General features: G+C 49.6%; 1 protein-coding gene across 3 annotated transcripts; it reads right to left on the bottom strand.

The window, feature by feature from the left end:
• Positions 1–10,379: 10,379 nt before the first annotated feature.
• Positions 10,380–17,646, bottom strand: ADIG (adipogenin). 3 transcript variants are annotated; one of them, NR_172017.1, is made up of 3 exons: positions 17,469–17,646; positions 12,586–12,814; positions 10,380–10,742 (listed from the first exon to the last, which is right to left on the bottom strand). NR_172017.1 is itself a non-coding variant. In NM_001393816.1 (3 exons), exons 1-2 carry the CDS (start codon positions 17,590–17,592, stop codon positions 12,696–12,698), a joined length of 243 nt encoding a protein of 80 aa, NP_001380745.1. In that variant the 5' UTR covers positions 17,593–17,646; the 3' UTR covers positions 10,380–10,742; positions 12,682–12,695. The 3 variants fall into 3 exon arrangements, 2 of the variants coding, with proteins under 2 accessions (NP_001380745.1, NP_001380746.1); NM_001393816.1 differs by having other exon boundaries at positions 12,682–12,814; NM_001393817.1 differs by having other exon boundaries at positions 12,700–12,814.
• Between the last annotated feature and the right edge of the window lie 1,374 nt (positions 17,647–19,020).

Below are 19,020 nucleotides of genomic sequence, written 5' to 3'. Positions count from 1 at the left end.
AAAAACATGTGAATGCCTAAGCCCCAGTAGCTCTGAATGTGACTGTCAGGCCTCTGAGCCCAAGCTTAGCCATCATATCCCCTGTGACCTGCACGTACACATCCAGATGGCTGGTTCCTGCCTTAACTGATGACATTCCACCACAAAAGAAGTGAAAATGGCCTGTTCCTGCCTTAACTGATGATATTATCTTGTGAAATTCCTTCTCCGGGCTCATCCTGGCTCAAAAGCTCCCCTACTGAGCACCTTGTGACTCCCACTCCTGCCCGCCAGAGAACAACCCCCCTTTGACTGTAATTTTCCTTTACCTACCCAAATCTTATAAAACGGCCCCACCCCTATCTCCCTTTGCTGACTCTCTTTTCGGATTCAGCCTGCCTGCATCCAGGTGAAATAAACAGCCTTGTTGCTCACACAAAGCCTGTTTGGTGGTCTCTTCACATGGATGCACATGAAATTTGGTGCCATGACTAGGATCAGGGGACCTCCCTTGGGAGATCAATCCCCTTTCCTCCTGCTCTTTGCTCCGTGAAAAAGATCCACCTATGACCTCGGGTCCTCAGACCCACCAGCCCAAGGAACATCTCACCAATTTTAAATCCGCTAAGCAGCCTGTTTTTACTCTCTTCTCCAACCTCCCTCACTATCCCTCAACCTCTTTCTCCATTCAATCTTGGCACCACACTTCAATCTCTCCCTTCTCTTAATTTCAATTCCTTTCATTTTCTGGTAGAGACAAAGGAGACACGTTTTATCCATGGACCCAAAATCCCGGCACCGGTCATGGACTCGGGAAGGCAGCCTTCCTTTGGTGTTTAATCATTGCAGGGATGCCTCTCTGATCATTCACCCACATTTCAGAGGTGTCTGACCACACAGGGACACCTGCCTTGGTCCTTCACTCTTAGCAGCAAGTACCACTTTTCTGGGGTACAAGAATCCCCCAACTCCCTCTCTCCGTGTTCTACCCCTTCTTTGCTTTTCTGGGGGGCAAGAACCCCCCGATCCCTTATTTCCACGCCCTGACCTCTTATCTCTGTGCCCCGATCCCTTATTTCCATACCCCGACCTCTTATCTCTGTGCCCCGATCCCTTATTTCCATGCCCCAATCCCTTATTTCTGTGCCCCAACCTCTTGTCTCTGTGCCCCAACCCCTTATTTCTGCGCGCTGACCCCTTTCCCGCTTTTCTGGAAGGTAAGAACCCCCGAACCCCTTCCCTCCATGTCTCTACTCTCTCTTTTCTCTAGGCTTGCCTCCTTCACTATAGGCAAACTTCCACCCTCCATTCCTCCTTCTTCTCCCTTAGCCTGTGTTCTTAAAAACCTAAAACCTCTTCAACTCACACCTGACCTAAAACCTAAATGCCTTATCTTCTTCTGCAACACTGCTTGGCCCCGATACAAACTTGACAATAGCTCTAAATGGCCAGAAAATGGCACTTTCAATTTCTCCATCCTACAAGACCTAAATAATTTTTGTTGAAAAATAGGCAAATGGTCCCAGGTGCCTTACATCCAGACATTTTTCACACTTCGTTCCCTCCCTAGTCTCTGTTCCCAATGCGATTCCTCCCAAATCCTCCTTCTTTCCCTCCCGCCTGTCCCCTCAGTCCCAACCCCAAGTGTCGCTGAGTCTTTCCAGTCTTCCTTTTCTACAGATTCATCTGACTCTTCCCCTCCTCCCCAGGCTGCTCGTCGCCAGGCCGAGCTAAGTCCCAATTCTTCCTCAGCCTCCACTCCTCCACCCTATAATCCTTCTACCACCTCCCTTCCTCATACCCGGTCCGGCTTACAGTTTAGTTCCGCTCTTCCCCACCTACCCACAATTTCCTCTTAGAGAGATGGCTGGAGCTGAAGGCATAGTCAGGGTACATGTACCTTTTTCTCTGTCAGACCTCTCTCAGATCAGCCAGCATTTAGGCTCTTTCTCATCAGACCCCACTAAACATATACAGGAATTCCAATATCTAACTCTGTCCTACAGTTTAACCTGGAGTGACTGAAATGTCATCCTGACTTCTACCCTCTCCCCAGATGAACGGGAAAGAGTTTTTTCTCTAGCCCAATCTCACGCTGATAACCGCCGGCTTCATGAACTTGACCTCCAGGAAGGCAGTAGAGCAGTTCCCCGAGAGGACCCCCAATGGAACTATCAGGCAGATTCCCCAGGTACAGCTAGGCGAGATTACATGATTTCCTGCCTAGTTGAAGGGCTTAAAAAGGCAGCTTACAAAGCTGGTAATTCTGACAAACTTAGAGAAACTACCCGAGGTAAAGACGAAAACCCAGCCCAGGTCATGGCCCGCTTGGCAGCGACCCTTACACGCTTTACCGCCCTAGACCCAGAGGGGCCAGAAGGCCGCCTTATTCTTAATATGCATTTTATCACCCAATCCACTCCTGACATTAGGAAAAAACTTCAAAAATTAGAATCTGGCCCTCAAACCCCACAACAGGAATTCATCAACCTCGCCTTCAAGGTGTACAGTAATAGAGAGGAAGCAGCCAGACGGCAACGCATGTCTGAGTTACAATTACTTGCCTCTGCTGTGAGACAAAACCCAGCCACACCTCCAGCACACAAGAACTTCAAAATGCCTAAGCCGCACACACCTAAGCCGCAGCAGTCAAGCATTCCTACAAGACTTCCTCCATCAGGATCTTGCTTCAAGTGCCAGAAATCCGGCCACTGGGCCAAGGAATGCCCGCAGCCCAGGATTTCTCCCAAGCCATGTCCCATCTGTGGAAGGACCCACTGGAAGGCAGACTGCCCAGCTCGCCCGGCAGCCACTCCTAGAGCCCCTAAAGCTCTAGCCCAAGGCTGTCTGACTGACTCCTTCTCAGATCTGCTCGGCTTAGCGACTGAAGATTGACGCTGCCCGATCGCCTCGGAAGCCCCCCGGACCATCATGGACGCCGAGCTTCAGGTAACTCTCACAGTGGAGGGTAAGTCCATCCCCTGTTTAATCGATACGGGGGCTACCCACTCCACGTTACCTTCTTTTCAAGGGCCTGTTTCCCTTGCCCTGATAACTGCTGTAACTATTGACGGCCAAGCTTCAAAACCCCTGAAAACTCTCCCACTCTGGTGCCAACTTAGACAACACTCTTTTATGCATTCTTTTTTAGTTATCCCCACCTGCCCAGTTCCCTTATTAGGCCGAGATATTTTAACCAAATTATCTGCTTCCCTGACTATTCCTGGACTACAGCCACATCTCATTGCTGCCCTTCTCCCCAACCCAAAGCCTCCTTTGTGTCTTCCTCTCGTATGCCCCCACCTTAGCCCACAAGTATAGGACATCTCTACTCCTTCCCTGGCAACCAATCACATGCCCATTACTCTCCCATTAAAACCTAATCATCCTTACCCCGCTCAACGCCAATATCCCATCCCACAGCACGCTTTAAAAGGATTAAAGCCTGTTATCACTCGCCTGCTACAGCATGGGCTTCTAAAACCTATAAACTCTCCTTACAATTCCCCCATTTTACCTGTCCAAAAACCACACAAGCCTTACAGATTAGTTCAGGATCTGAGCCTTATCAACCAAATTGTTTTGCCTATCCGCCCTGTGGTGCCCAACCTGTACACTCTTTTGTTCTCAATACCTTCCTCCACAACTCACTATTCTGTTCTTGATCTTAAAGATGCTTTTTTCACTATTCCCCTACACCCCTCATCCCAGCCTCTCTTTGCTTTCACCTGGACTGACCCTGACACCCATCAGTCCCAGCAGCTTACCTGGGCTGTGCTGCCGCAAGGTTTCAGGGATAGCCCTCATTACTTCAGCCAAGCTTTCTCATGATTTACTTTCTTTCCACCCCTCCGCTTCTCACCTTATTCAATATATTGATGAGCTTCTTCTTTGTTGCCCCTCTTTTGAATCTTCTCAACAAGACACACTTCTGCTCCTTCAGCATTTATTCTCCAAAGGATACCAAGTATCCCCCTTCAAAGCTCAAATTTCTTCTCCATCCGTTACCTACCTCAGCATAATTCTTCATAAAAACACATGTGCTCTCCCTGCCGATCGTGTCTGACTGATCTCTCAAACCCCAACCCCTTCTACAAAACAACAACTCCTTTCCTTCCTGGGCATGGTTAGATACTTTCGCCTTTGGATACCTGGTTTTGCCATCCTAAAAAAACCATTATATAAACTCACAAAAGGAAACCTAGCTGACTCCATAAATCCTAAATCCTTTCCCCACACCTCTTTCCATTCCTTGAAGACAGCTTTAGAGACTGCCCCCACCCTAGCTCTCCCTGACTTATCCCAGCCCTTTTCATTACACACAGCCGAAGTGCAAGGCTGTGCAGTCAGAATTCTTACACAACGACCGGGATCGCGCCCTGTAGCCCTTTTGTCCAAACAACTTGACCTTACTGTTTTAGGCTGGCCATCACGTCTCCGTGCAGCGGCTGCTGCCGCCCTAATACTTTTAGAGGCCCTTAAAATACAAACTATGCTCAACTCACTCTCTACAGCTCTCATAATTTCCAAAATCTGTTTTCTTCCTCACACCTGACGCATATACTGTCTGCTCCGCGGCTCCTTCAGCTGTACTCACTCTTTGTTGAGTCTCCCACAATTACCATTGTTCCTGGCCCGGACTTCAATCTGGCCTCCCACATTATTACTGATACCACACCTGACCCTCATGACTGCATCTCTCTGATCCACCTGACGTTCACCCCATTTCCCCACATTTCCTTCTTCCCTGTTTCTCACCCTGATCATACTTGGTTTATTGATGGCAGTTCCACCAGGCCTAATCGCCACACACCAGCGAAGGCAGGCTATGCTATAGTACAAGCCACTAGCCCGCCTCTTAGAACCTCTCATTTCCTTTCCATCGTGGAAATCTATCCTCAAGGAAATAACTTCTCAGTGTTCCATCTGCTATTCTACTACTCCTCAGGGATTATTCAGGCCCCCTCCCTTCCCTACACATCAAGCTCAGGGATTTGCCCCAAGTCAGAAAACTAAAATACCTCTTAGTCTAGGTAGACACTTTCACTGGATAGGTAGAGGCCTTTCCCACAGGGTCTGAGAAGGTCACTGCGGTCATTTCTTCCCTTCTGTCAGACATAATTCCTCTGTTTGGCCTTCCCACCTGTATACAGTCCGATAGCAGACCGGCCTTTATTAGTCAAATCAGCCAAGCATTTTTTCAGGCTCTTAGTATTCAGTGAAACCTTTATATCCCTTAAGGTCCTCAGTCTTCAGGAAAAGTAGAACGGACTAATAGTCTTAAAAACACACCTCACCAAGCTCAGCCACCAACTTAAAAAGGACTGGACAATACTTTTACCACTTTCCCTTCTCAGAATTCAGGCCTGTCCTCGGAATGCTACAGGGTACAGCCCATTTGAGCTTCTGCATGGACGCTCCTTTTTATTAGGCCCCAGTCTCATTCCAGACACCAGACCAACTTGGACTGTGCCCCAAAAAACTTGTCATCCCTACTATCTAGTCATACTCCTATTCACTGTTCTCAACTACTCATACATGCCCTGCTCTTGTTTACACTGCCAGTTTACACTGTTTCTTCAAGCCATCACAGCTGATATCTCCTGGTGCTATCCCCAAACCGCCACTCTTAACTCTTAAAGTAAATAAATAATCTTTGCTGGCAAGGCTATACTGAACCTCCTTAGGCACTCTCTAATTAGATGTCCTAGGTCCTCCCAATTCTTAGTCCTTTAATACCTGTTTTTTTCCTTCTCTTATTCCGTTTAGTTTTTCAATTCATGCAATAATTCTAAATGACAATTCAGGCCATCATCAATAATTCTAAATGACAAATGTTTCTTCTAACAACCCCACAATATCACCCCTTACCACAAAATCTTTCTTCAGCTTAATCTCTCTCACTCTAGGTTCCCACGCCGCCCCTAATCCCGCTCGAAGCAGCCCTGAGAAACATCACCCATTATTATCTCTCCATACCACCCCCCAAAAATTTTCACCGTCCCAACACTATACCACTATTTCCTTTTATTTTTCTTATTAATATAAGAAGACAGGAATGTCAGGCCTCTGAGCCCAAGCTAAGCCATCATATCCCCTGTGACCTGCATGTACACATCCAGATGGCCTGTTCCTGCCTTAACTGATGACATTCCACCACAAAAGAAGTGAAAATGGCCTGTTCCTGCCTTAACTGATGACATTATCTTGTGAAATTCCTTCTGACTCATCCTGGCTCAAAAATTCCCCTACTGAGCACCTTGTGACCCCCACTCCTGCCCGCCAGAGAACAACCCCCCTTTGACTGTAATTTTCCTTTACCTACCCAAATCTTATAAAACGGCCCCACCCCCATCTCCCTTTGCTGACTCTCCTTTCGGACTCAGCCCACCTGCACCCAGGTGAAATAAACAGCCCTGTTGCTCACACAAAGGCTGTTTGGTGGTCTCTTCACATGGACGCGCATGAAAGTGACTTTATTTGGAAATAGGGTTTTGACAGAGATAATCAAGTTAAAATGTGGTTGGTAGGGTGGGCCCTAACCCAATAAGACTGGTGTCCCTCTGAAAGGGGAAAATCGGTCCCCGACACAGGTGTGCATATCAAGAAGATGATGGGAAGACACACAGTGGGGACACTATGTGAGGGCAGAGGCCGCAGCTGGGTGATGCTGCCACAAGCTGAGGCACATTGGAGCCACCAGAACCTGTGAAAGGCAAGGAAGGCTCCTTCCTCTGCAGGGTTTGGAGGGAGCCTGGCAATGCCAGTACCATAACTGTGGACTTCTAGCCCCCAGAAGTAAGAGCCCACACGCTTCTGTTGTTCTAAACCACCCAGCTTGTGACACTCTGTCATGGGAGCTCCTGGAAGCAAATGCAGAGGGGATTGGCCGTTTTGCAGACGATGACACTGAGGCTGAATGGGATGGTGATGGGCTTGCACTCGGGAGTCCAGGCCTGTGGCCCCAGGGTTAGGGGTAGAAAATAAGCCTGTGCCTAGAAGATATGCTGTGACAAGGGGTGTGGCTTTCAATGAGATGCACCGACAGTCAGATACACCCTGCTTTGCTGATGCCCCTGCGGTGCTCCCATGTCATGCTGGTGACTGTCCTCGCAGGGTCCCTGCGCCCCTCAGCCTGGGGAGACAGGTTTGCGGTCCCGAGTGCACCTGAGTTTCCTACAAACATCAACCGCACAGCCTTAAGCTCCATCATTCAGCTCTAGGAAGAGCCAGGGGCATCCCCGTGGATCTGGAGACACACATCCCAGTTAAGAGTCAGAAAAATGAGCCACTTCATGGCTGTGTGACTTTGGGCGAGTTGCTTAACCTCTCTGAATCTCAGTTTCCTCGTCTGAAAATGGAACCATGACGCGACTGAGAGGGCTGTTGTGAGGATCCAGTGGGATAATGCATGGGCACTCAGCCGTGGCTGCTACGTGGGGATGATGTCTCTCGGGAGCCTGTGACTAGAGTGTCATGGGATGTGTTTACCAGTCACATGCCCATCTCCTCTGTATGAGTGTGCATGTGTGCGTGTGTGTGTCTGTGTGTGCCAGAATGGGGACCTCGTCCACATCCGTAGAGGCCCGGGGTCTCAGCCCTCACCAAAGCAGGGAAGGCGTCTCCCCACACTCCCCACAATTGTTCTCCAGAGCTGTCACCTGCCCGGGGCCCTGAGGAGCGGCCTCATCTGCCTTCTGCCTCAAAGGTTCCAGGGGCATGGCAGATGCTCTCCCCAGACCCCAGTGCAGGGCCCACTGCACTCACTCTCCTCGGGGTTGCCTCCTCAGCAGGTGGGGCAAGAGGGCTGGGGGGCTCTGCTGGCTTTTCTAGGCCAGAAGGGAGGCTGAACAATGGCCCAGCAGCCCCTCACAGCACAGTGGGGCAGGGCCGAGTAAGCAATGCACAGAGACTCCACAGAACGGGGCATCTGGCAAAAATGCAGACAATGCCAGGCAGAGCTTCCACCACAGGGAGGAGTTGCCAACAGGGTTCATTCAACGCCACCCCTGCAGCTCCCAGGAAAACCCCGTGGTGACAAAAGCTCATCAGCTGGAGCAAGGCTTGTGTGGAGAAGGGAGGGTTGTGGGTGTGTGTGCGTGTGTGTGAGTGCGCGTGTCTATGGATGTGTGTCTAGCCCAGGTTTCCTTCTCATTCTCATTTCAAAGCCACAGCCTGATGGAAAACAAAATATTTAAATGTGTGAGAATACGTGTGTGCATGTGTGTCTGTGAGAGTGTGTGATAGTGTGTCTGTGTGTATAAGGTGGTGTGTGTATGTGTGTCTGTATGAGTGAGTGTATATGTGTGTGTGGGTATGAGTGTGACTGTGTGACAGTGTGTATATGTGAGTGTATGAGTGTGTGTGTGTGTCTGTGTGTGATAGTGTGCCTGTACGTGTGAGGGTGTTTGTGTCAGTGGATATGTGTGAGCATGTGTGTGAGTGTATGAGAGTGTGTGTGTCTGTGTGTGATAGCGTGTATGTGTGAGGGTGTCTGAGAGCATATGTGTGTGTATGCATGTGGATGTGGGTGTAGTGAGTGTATGTGTGAGGGTGTGAGTGTATATGTATGTGTGAGTGTATGAGTGTGTATGTGTGAGGGTGTGTGTGAGTGTATATGTATGTGAGTGTATGAGTGTGTGTGAGGGTTTGTGTCTGTGTGTGTGTATGTGTGTGTCTGTATGAGGGTGTGTGTCTGTGTATGTGTGTCTGTGTGACAGTGTGTGTCTATGAGGGTGTGTCTGTGTGACAGTGTGTGTATGTGTGTCTGTATGAGGGTGTGTGTCTGTGTGCATATGTGTGTCTGTATGAGGGTGTGTGTGTGTATGTGTGTCTGTATGAGGGTGTGTGTCTGTGTGTGTCTATGAGAGTGTGTGTATGAGGGTGTGTGTGAGTGTGTGATAATGCGTGTGTGTGTCTGTATGTAAGAGAGCATGTTGGGATTGCACAGCGGGGCAAAGGACTGGGGAAACAGGTACTTCTAATGTACCCTTGGGGCCACTTTTTGGTCGAGCAACTTAGTTTCTGCAAAATGTAAATGCATGTCTTATATTCAACAATTTCTCCTTTCAGAATGTGTTCTCTGGATAGAAGCACACTTGTGGGCAAGGATTTAGGTTCAAGAGTGTTCATTGTAGCCTGTGGGTAAGAATAGAAACCTCATCCAGCAAATTCAGTGGGGCTCAAATCCCAAAAGGTGGCTTTCTGCACCTGATGAGGAGCTCAGACTTTAGCCCACGGACAACGGAAAGCATGGAAGACGTGAAGCCAGGAAGGGACATGTCCCAATTTGTGCTTTGGGTGGATCACTCCAACAGGGCAGAAAGAGCAGAGACCAAGGCCAGGAGACCAAAGGCCAGGAGACAAGCTAAGATTTCAGGCTCAATTCTCTCTCCTTGGACATTTAGAAGTCGTGGTGGCTGGTGGGGTGTGGAGTGAGAGAGAAAGAAGGGATAAAGATGATGCCCAGTTGGTACCTTGGAGGGCCTGTCCCTTTATCCCCCCACCCCCATCATCCTGCAGCCTCTGGAAACTTACGCCTCCCACCATACCTCCCCCAGCACCCCACCTGGGGAAGAACTGGCACAGTGGAGTGGGACCTGGTTCTGGAGTCATGGAACCTGGGTTCAAATGCCAACTCTCCCAGTGTGACTCTGAGCAACTTACTAACTGCTCTGTGCCTGTTTCCCCATGTGTAAAACAGAGGTAACCAACCTACCTTGCAGAATTCTTACAAGGGCTAAAAGCAATCGTATGTATTTGTTTTTGTTTTTGTTTCTTTGAGACCGAGTCTCATTCTGTTGCCCAGGCTGGAGTGCAGTGGCACGATCTCAGCTCACTGCAACCTTCACCTCCCTGGTTCAAGCGATTCTTGTGCCTCAGTCTCCCGAGTAGCTGGGACTACGTGAGCCATCACACCTGGCTAATTTTTGTATTTTTAGTAGAGATGGGGTTTTTGTCATGTTGGCCAGGGTGGTTTCGAATTCCTGACCTCAAGTGATCCACCCGCTTTGGCCTCCCAAAGTACTGGGATTACAGGTGTGAGCCACCGTGCTCGGCCAGCAATCGTATGTATAAAGCACATAGAAAAGTGCCTGACGTGTAGTAAGCATTCACTAAATGTTGAGCTACTCCTATAGCTATTCCTGCTCCTACCAAACTAGGCACTTGGTAGACACTCTGCAGCTATTTATCAAATATTTGTTATTAAGATCAGCCTGAAGTCCAATCAAGGAGCGAATTTGAAATCAGAGAATGGAAGTTCAGAGCAAGCCCCCCATCCCCATTGAACAGATGGAAGAGGGTTGGGCATTCCCAAGAAGGTCCTAGATGGCTTGAATCAGGGCCAGGGCTGAGTCTCGGACCTACGCTGGTTGAATGAATGACTTGGTCAGGCCTGGTAGGTTTGTCAGGGGTCCCCCGGGTATGGGAAGACCCTTGCTTCTTTAATATGGACCCACACCCTCCGGCCCAGCCCTGCTTTAAGACCCCTCTGAATTAAATTGGCCAATTTCTCCCCATGGGCCTGCTCACTGCTCCCATGCCCTCCCAGACTTGAGCGGCTCCCTGCAGGGCTGGAGGTCATCTGTGATGCTGGAGAAGGGCTGGGACCTCTGGAGGCTTTCACATGTCGGTCTGAAGAGGAGATGAGTTGGGGGTTCCAGGGAGGCACCACAGTTGCCAAAGTCCTCTTGCCTCCCTGGCAAGTCTCTCCCATCCACTTCTGCCATTGCCACTGCCCTGCTGACTCCAGGAAAACCAAACTAGAAACAAAAGGAAGGTTGGGACTAGGGATGCCATTGGGATGAGAAAAAAGAGGTGGGTAAGGCCAGACGTGGTGGTTCATGCCTGTAATCCCAGCACTTTGGGAAGCCGAGGCAGGTGGATCATCTAAGGTCAGGAGTTCAAGACCAGCCTGACCAATATGGTGAAACCTTGTCTCTACTACAAATAGAAAAATTAGCCGGGCGTGATGGCATGTGCCTGTAATCCCAGCTACTCGGGAGGATAAGACAGGAGAATTGCTTGAACTGGGGAGGAAGAAGTTGCAGTAAACTGAGATTGCGCTACTGCACTCCAGCCTGGGGAACAGAGAAAGACTCCGTCTCAAAAAAAAAAAAAAAGGGAAAAAAGAAAGAAAGAGGTGGGTAAGTGATGGGGGTGGGAAGGGAAGGGCTATGCATAAATGGGATAGGGTTCTTGTGCAGCGTCCGAAAATCTTTTCTCATGCCACAAATTATATAAAAACAGATCAAGCTACATAATTCGCAGGGCCCAATAGCAAATTAACACGTGGGGCCCCTTGTTCAAAAATTAAGAATTTCAAGACAGCAATAGCCAAGCATGAAACCAAGCCTGGGACCTTGTGGGACTGCAGGTTACACACCTGTGGAGCTGGCCCCGTACACAAATCTCTGAGGGCATTCATAGGAGGAGTTTTCCTGGGAAAAGGGCCCTCAGTGGTCAAGGTGGGACCCAAAAGGCTAAAAAATCATTACAACTTAGGTTAAGTGAGGGGCCCTCCTTTTCACCACCTCCTCCCTCCACTCAGACAGGGTCGGGGGCTAGTGAACACACTGCATGAACCAACTTCAGAGTAGGGCAGAGAAAGGCGGACACGTGAGAGATGGAGATTAGAGTTGGGAGAGAGAGGCGAGAGGCTGGCTCCCGGGTTCGTGACTCGGGCAACAGAATCAATCCACAGTGGTGCTATTCATGGAGATGAAGAAAAGCTAGCAGAAGATCAGGGTGCTGTTTTGCTTGGCTGGGTGACAATGGGAATCAAGATTCCTATTCTAGGCATGAGAGGGTGTCAAGCAGACAGATAATAAAGCTTGGGAGGAGATTAGATGAGACACACACATTTTGGGGCCATTGGTATAGAGATGGCATCTAACCCCACTGGAATGGCTGAGGTCTCCTAGGAATTCAATGGGTGCAAGGGCCTTTGGGTACAGCATCTGATTGCCCTGACACCTCACATGAGAGTATGTGTGTGTGCCTCATTTGTAAATGGAGGTGAGAATCATATCCTCATCATAGGATTTCATAAGTAAGCTTGTGGAAGGGGAACGGTTCAGACAGGCCTTGGTACCTATTGAGCCCCCAAGGATACCAGCCATTGTAATAATAATAATAATAATATCATGTCATCCTTCCACAAACATGTATTGAGCCTCTAGCATGTGTCTGGCAGTATTTTGGGGCTTTGGATGCAGCCACGATCAAACGTGTTAGAAGGCGGTAAGTACTACAGTGAAAGGAAAGCAGAGCAGGGTAAGCAGCACGATGCGGAGGATAGGGTGGGGGCTTCAATATCGAATAGGGTGGCCAGTGGGACTCTGCTGAAAAAGTGACATTAGAGCAAGCCCTCAGAGGGGAGGGAGTGCCCCACGCAGACGTCTGAGGGAACAGCTGGCCAAAGACCATCAGGAAAGTGGTGGGGGGTGAGGCCCTAGGGTAAAGGGTAGGGGACCTTTGTAAAGGCTCCTTGTGGCACAGGGGGCTGGCCCTTTAACAGGGCAACACCAGGTCTCCCCCACAATGAAGCAGAAGGCTCTCACATGCTGGAGAGAACCCGTCATCCAGCATGGCCAGGGAGCATACCTCTAATATGGTGGAGGCAGCCTCTTGCCCACATAGCAGCTGCCCAAGGCTTTGGGTGGGCCTTGAGGCTCCCCCTGGCCCCTGGAAGGGCCTCACCTGGCACAGCAGGCTCACCAGCAGGGCCTCTCCTTCTCTTGGCCGTGGAGTGTCCCCTTCCAGCAAAACTCAGCTGGGCCTTTGCTCCAGGGCTCCCAATCCAAGCACACACTGGAGTCATTTTCCTCTGAATCTGTGGAGATACGAGGCAAGGCCTCTTGGATGGTCACATCCTGTCTCCTACCCCTGACCCAGGAAGGAGTCCCCTGCCAGGCCTGGGTATCCCTGCAGCCTTGCCTGAGGCTAGGGCCAAGGCAGAATCCTATGAGCCAGCCTTGAGGCCTCAGGAAGACTTCAGGGCCTTAAAGGGTGACCAGGGACCAAGAAAGAAGGCTGCTCCTGTGACTTGGAAAATGGCCGTATCTAGAGGGGAGGACACAGAGGTGAGCAAATGACATACTGTACTGGACATGGTCCAGGAAGAGGCAGTGAAGAGACACAGTTATTGACCCATCCAGGCCACTAGTCCACTAGTTCATTCATTAACAAACATCTGAGTACAAAGGCACAATGATCTCCACTGTAGCCCTGTTTTGTGATGAAACACGCACACACGAACAATAAAACACCTGGAAACTGTGTCCACGTCCACAGATCACGAGAGATCTGGGTGACTAAGCTGTGGGAGAGTCACACCACATGGAGACCCGGACCCTCCGTCTGATGGCTTGTCATGAAGCTGTTAAAATGTTTGCATCATATCTGTATCTTCTGACTTGCAGAATATCTACGGTATATTATAAGCAAATTAAAAAGAAATGTAGGATCTTTTTGTTTTGAAAAGCAAATGCTGCACCATTCCCCAATTTGTTTTGAAAACCTGCACACGTTAATGAGTTTGCTAACAGACTCATCTTGGGGAGGTAGGGTGAGAAAAAAAGAGGGATGGGGAAGATTATTTTTCTTACTAAACTCTTGCATTGTTTCACTAGTTGCAGAGAAGTAACAAAGGTTTTTGTACAATGGGCATAATATCAGCATCTTCTAGGATGAGGGTTAACCGAAGGCAGACATGTAAAACTCAGCACAGGACTTAGCACAGGCCTTCAACAGTGTTGGCAGTTAGTATGTCTTAAAAGTCAGTAGGGGCCGGGCACAGTGGCTCACGCCTGTAATCCCAGCACTTTGGGAGGCCAAGGCGGGTGACCATGAGATCAAGAGATCGAGACCATCCTGGCCAACATGGCGAAACCCCGTCTCTACTAAAAGTACAAAAATTAGCTGGGCGTGGTGGTGCGCACCTGTAGTCCCAGCTGCTCAGGAGGTTGAGGCAGGAGAATCGCTTGAACCAGGGAGTCGGAGGTTGCAGTGAGCCGAGATCGCGCCACTGCACTCCAACCTGGTGACAGAGCGAGACTCCGTCTCAAAAAAAAAAAAAGTCAGTAGGATAGCGTGAAGTGACTGTTCTTCACTAGAGAGAGTATTTTTTGAACATAGAGTATGTGCAAAGTGTTGTTACATTCATTTTCTCATCTGATCCTCTTAACACCTTCCTGAAGTCAATTACTAGTATTTTTTGTACTTTACAGATGAGGATGGTGAAATCACTTGTCCAGGCTCACAGCCAGGGAGTGGTGCTACTGGATGCAAATTCAGCCTCCCCACTCCACGGTTCCATTGGGTGTGTTTGGACTCAGAGGATTTAAAGGCAGCTTTGAATTGAACATCTTGCTCCAAGACCCACCATGAGGGGTTGTTGCGCCACTCTTCTGTTTCAGCCCCAAACCCATCTCTTTGGAGGTTTCCCTTCATCCTTCTGCAAACTCCTTTCAAATCGCAAAAGGAAAATGCCGGCAGCAGGGCATCTTCCCCTTGAAGGGTGTGTGTGGCTTCCTCCACCTTATGGCCATGTCATGGCCAGACAGTAGCACTGTCCCCACTGACCAGCTTCTGCAGGAGTTGAGCTGCCCATTATCATTTTTGCCTCAGTGCCAGTTTCATCAGGCAGCTCTCCTTTCCTCCCCATTTGCTCCTCCTTCGACTTGGGAAAGTGCATCCTGTCGGGTATTCCACGCTTAACCCTCTGTATTCTGAGGCCTGAAACTGCCCTGAGGAGCCAGCAGGAGTGTTGGGGGGTGGTGGGGAGGAGGCGGCAGAGCTACTCCTGTCTGCTTTTCAAACTGGATTTCAGGCAAACTGATTCCAATAAAGGGATCTGCAGCAGAATAGAAAACTGCAGGTCTGGGTGTCCTGACCCCTTAGCCCCCCAAACCCTGACATTGGGTCAGTTCCCAGCACAAGGGCAAAACACGCACAATAATACTGGGAGTTTTAGAAGACGGAGAACCTGAGGGAGGAATGCCCACCTCACTTTAAGGACGGTTTCTCTTCGTTGCAAAATTAACAAATGACTTATTTCAAAACGCCACATGACACCAGTAAACAGCCTCTCAGGAGAAAGTCTGCGGAGGGGTTGGAGTGGGGTAGGTTGTGGATGGTTTTGGAGTTGGGCCTCCAAGCAGAGTGAATGCTGGAGGAGACTCATGCTGCAGGCCTTGGCCTGGGTGGTAGGAGAAATGTCTCCTCTCTGGAGAAGGCATCCAAAGCCACACCACCTGCATTTCCTCCCACATTGACAAAACCAGCATTGGCTGGACTATTTTCTCAGCCTACAGGAACCTACGATGTGCCAGGTGTGTATGCGTACTGTGTGCCCTGCCCTGTAAGTACCCGATATGCATCGACCACTGAAGCCTGTCACAACCCCAAGGGGCAGGTACTAGTGTTGTCTCCATTTTGTAGATGAGAAAAGCAAGGCTCAGAGAGGTGTCCACAGTCATGCAGCTGGTAGGTGGCAGAGTCAGGATTTGAAGGCAGACAATTGGCTCTCTTAAGTAGTTCACAGATGTATGACCTTGGACAGGTTGCTTCTCCTCTCCTAGCCTCAGTTTCCCCAATTGTGATATTATTAAGTATTATTAAGCAGGGTTATTATGAGGATTACATAAGATTATGCAAGTCCAGTGTTTAGCACAAGGTCTGGTATATAGTCAGTGTTCCAAACAGGTTCACTATTATTAGGAACTATTAAGAAGCAAGGATGAGGCTGGGTGCGGTGGCTCATGCCTGTAATCCCATCACTTTGAGAGGCTGAGGCGGGTGGATCACCTGAGCTCAGGAGTTCGAGACCAGCCTGGCTAACATGGTGAAACCCCATCTCTACTAAAAATACAAAAATTAGACAGGTGTGATGGCGGGCACCTGTAATCCCCGCTACTTGGGAGGCTGAGGCAGGAGAATCGCTTGAAGCCAGGAGGCAGAGGTTGCAGTGAGCCGAGATTGTGCCACTGCACTCCAGCCTGGCTGACAAGAGTAAGACTCTGTTTCAAAAAATAAAAATAAAAAAAAAAGGATGATATCTGAACTCATATCTTCCAGACTCCAGAGAGACAACTTTTATCGCCAGTATGCAAACAAGGCTGACTCCCTACCAGCTGTGGGGCCCAATGCCTAAACCGTGCCCCTCAGGGAGGGCTGTGGTCTACCCTAGGACTATGAGGAGAATATACTTTAAATAAACACTTTCTAGAAACAAAAGGACATCCCAAGTTCTTGCCAGGAACTCCCAATAATTACATAATTATAAGCCCCTACATTTGAGATCATGGGGCTAGCAGGGGTGTGGGGAGGGACTTCTCACCCTGCCTCAACAACATCTGACCATTGCTGGCGGCATGTGCTGCGCCCTCCCTGCCTAGCTTGCCAAAGGTCATGGCACTCAGCAGCAGGAGGTAGGAGGTCAAGTGGTCCCCACGAAGAGGCCTTTTTTTGACACAGGGTCTCACTCTGTCTGCTGGAATACAGTGGTGTGATCTCGGCTCACTGCAGCCTCGACCTCCCAGGCTCAAGCAATTCTCCCACCTCAGCCTCCTCAGTAGCTGGGACCACAGATGCATGCCACCACACCTGGCTAATTTTTGTATTCCTTGTAGGGACGTTGCCCAGCCTGGTCTCAAACTCCTGGGCTCAAGCAACCTGGCCACCTTGGCTTCCCAAAGTGCTGGGATTACAGGTGTGAGCCACTGTGTCCAGCAGGAAGAGACCTCTTGCTGAAGGGGATGCTCAGGGAGACACATGCCAGAGGAGCAGAAGTCCCACTCCTGCCACACAGCCAGGCCATATCCTGATCCAGCCACCCCCAGCTTCCTCCACAGCCAGCTTCGTCCCACCTCTTGCTCCTCTTGGTGGCATGCTGAGGTCAGGGTGAATGTCAGCTGGCTTCCATGAGCCTGTCTCCCAAAGCAGCCAGATCCTTTCTGATACATGGCTTAGGCAGAAACAGTGAGTGGTCTGCAGGTATCTGAAAAATGCCTAAGGCTGCTGTATCCCATCGTGCAAGCTGTTTACTGCACAAAAGCAGCCAATTGAGAGGGTGAGCGGGGCTGAAATCCAGCCCACGCTCTGCTCACAGAGCCTTGCACCCCAGCTGAAAGGGGCACCTGGAAGTTCATCTGCCTGGAGCGATAACCTCTGATTTGTTCAAAAGATCACTCTCGAACTCTAGGTTCAAACTCTAGGACTCACTCTCAAACTCTAGGTTCAAACTCTAGGACTCACTCTCGAACTCTAGGTTCAAACTCTAGGACTCACTCTCGAACTCTAGGTTAAGAAACCCTAAACAACCAAACCAATCCTTTCCACTTAAGAGTTGACTGCTTGTATCTAAGCGAGCACTTAAAATGACTGAAGGAAGCCCCTTCTGCAGTTGTTTCAGGACACACTGGCCTATTTGGCCCCCTGCCTAGCTCCAGGATTAGGGTCCTGCCTGGACGGGGTAAGAAGCTCACCTTGGCTAAGTAAGAAGCGTAGCCAGATGATCAATAACAACAGCAAACCCACAGGGAGGCAGAACCAGAAAACCAGGAAAGAAAATGTGAGGTCGTTCACCAGCGGCATCAAAGGGTACTTCATGGCGCATGTGTGGCTAAGCTGGGCCAGCCTGGGCTGGGCTGGCAGGGCTGCCCCATGGGACCTGGCAGGCTGGGCCATGCTCTGCTCTCAGCCCAACTGTGACTAAGCTGTGACATAACAAAGAAGTCACAGTGTACTTCAGGCAAAGCATGCAGGGGACACTTTGAGGGAGAGCTGTTCTGGATGAAAGGGTGGGAAGTGAGGCAGTGAGACAGACAGTCTGGCTGAGAATTAAAAAGCCCAGGTTTCCAGGCAGGCCTGGGCTTGAATCTCAGTCCAGTAGCTATTGGGTTCATGACACCCCTCTGACCCTTTTTCTTGTAAGATGGAGATAATTCTGTTAAGTTAGAAAAATAGATGGGACAAAAATTACCCCCAGGATCGGTGTTCATATATCTGAAGTCACAGACCCCCTCCAGGAGCCAGCTGGGTCCCCAGGTCCTGTAATACCAGCTGTGGGTGCCCACGTCCACACTTGGTGGGGGTGCTGGGGACTGCGGCAAACTGGATGCAGCTTACTGCATCCTAAGCATGCAGTGATGGCAGCTCCAACCAATAACTGCTACAAGTGAAATGCAGGTCCATTATTGCAGGACTCCTAACTTTCCCAAGACAGGCAAAAAGTCTGGATTTCTGTGAAATCTCCCAAGTTTAAAATGTCGGATCAGACCTTGTCAAAGCACTGTTGGCTAAACAAAACGTCTGCCAGGCTGGATTGGTCACTGGGCTGCCACTGAAAACTTTTAAAATCTAACACATAGTAGATTATTCTAATTATTACTAGATTAAATGACTATAAATGATTATTACTTAATCTGAAAGCTTGTGCCTCTCCTTATTAGGGTTTTCAGTGAGGGGCTTCTAACGACTTGAATCTTGTTCCTTTATCTCCTGAGTGGCCAGAACACTTCCACATGTCATCCTCATCTTCTCCTATCTGTCATCCGTTCACTCATCAAGTATTCAGTAAACCTCCATGTGCCAGACCATGGCAGAAAGGAGGCTTCGGGCTTCCCACTGGAGTGGCTGCTGCATGGTATTCTCCAAGAGGACCCTTGGACCACCTGCCTGTGACTGCCAGCAGGTGGGTGGGTGCTGGAGTGTATTTATTAAACATGCCAATTCCCAGGCTCACCTTCGTCTCCTCAGACCTCTTGGGGGTGGGGGTGTGGCTTGGGATTCAACACACTGATAAGCAACTAGAATGATTCTGATGCAGGCTTGATTTTGAGACTACAGCATCTCATGACTTAAAAGCACCTGTTGAAAAGGCAAACCAGGTCCAGGCGGGGGAGCAGCTGCAGGAAGGGGGTGGTAAACTTAGGGAAAAACATGGAGTAGAAAACCCCCTTATAGGAAAAGACACCGATTCAAGGAGAAGGGCGCATGGGGCCAGCAACAGGAAAAAATAAGAGCATGGGAGGGGCT

The sequence above is a fragment of the Homo sapiens genome, chromosome 20 (assembly GCF_000001405.40).
Source record: "Homo sapiens chromosome 20, GRCh38.p14 Primary Assembly".
NCBI classification, from domain to species: Eukaryota; Metazoa; Chordata; class Mammalia; order Primates; family Hominidae; genus Homo; species Homo sapiens.
This window is presented reverse-complemented; position numbering and strand designations above follow the sequence as displayed.

Excerpts from the sequence above, each read along its gene's own strand:
- ADIG (NM_001393817.1), bottom strand. The coding sequence starts at position 17,592 with ATGAAGTACCCTTTGATGCCGCTGGTGAACGACCTCACATTTTCTTTC. Across the intron at positions 12,815-17,468 it reads ACGCTTCTTACTTAGCCAAG|ATTCAGAGGAAAATGACTCC; the intron begins GTGAGCTTCTTA and ends GTATCTCCACAG. Across the intron at positions 10,743-12,699 it reads GAGAAGGAGAGGCCCTGCTG|TTTGGTTTTCCTGGAGTCAG; the intron begins GTGAGCCTGCTG and ends TTTTGTTTCTAG.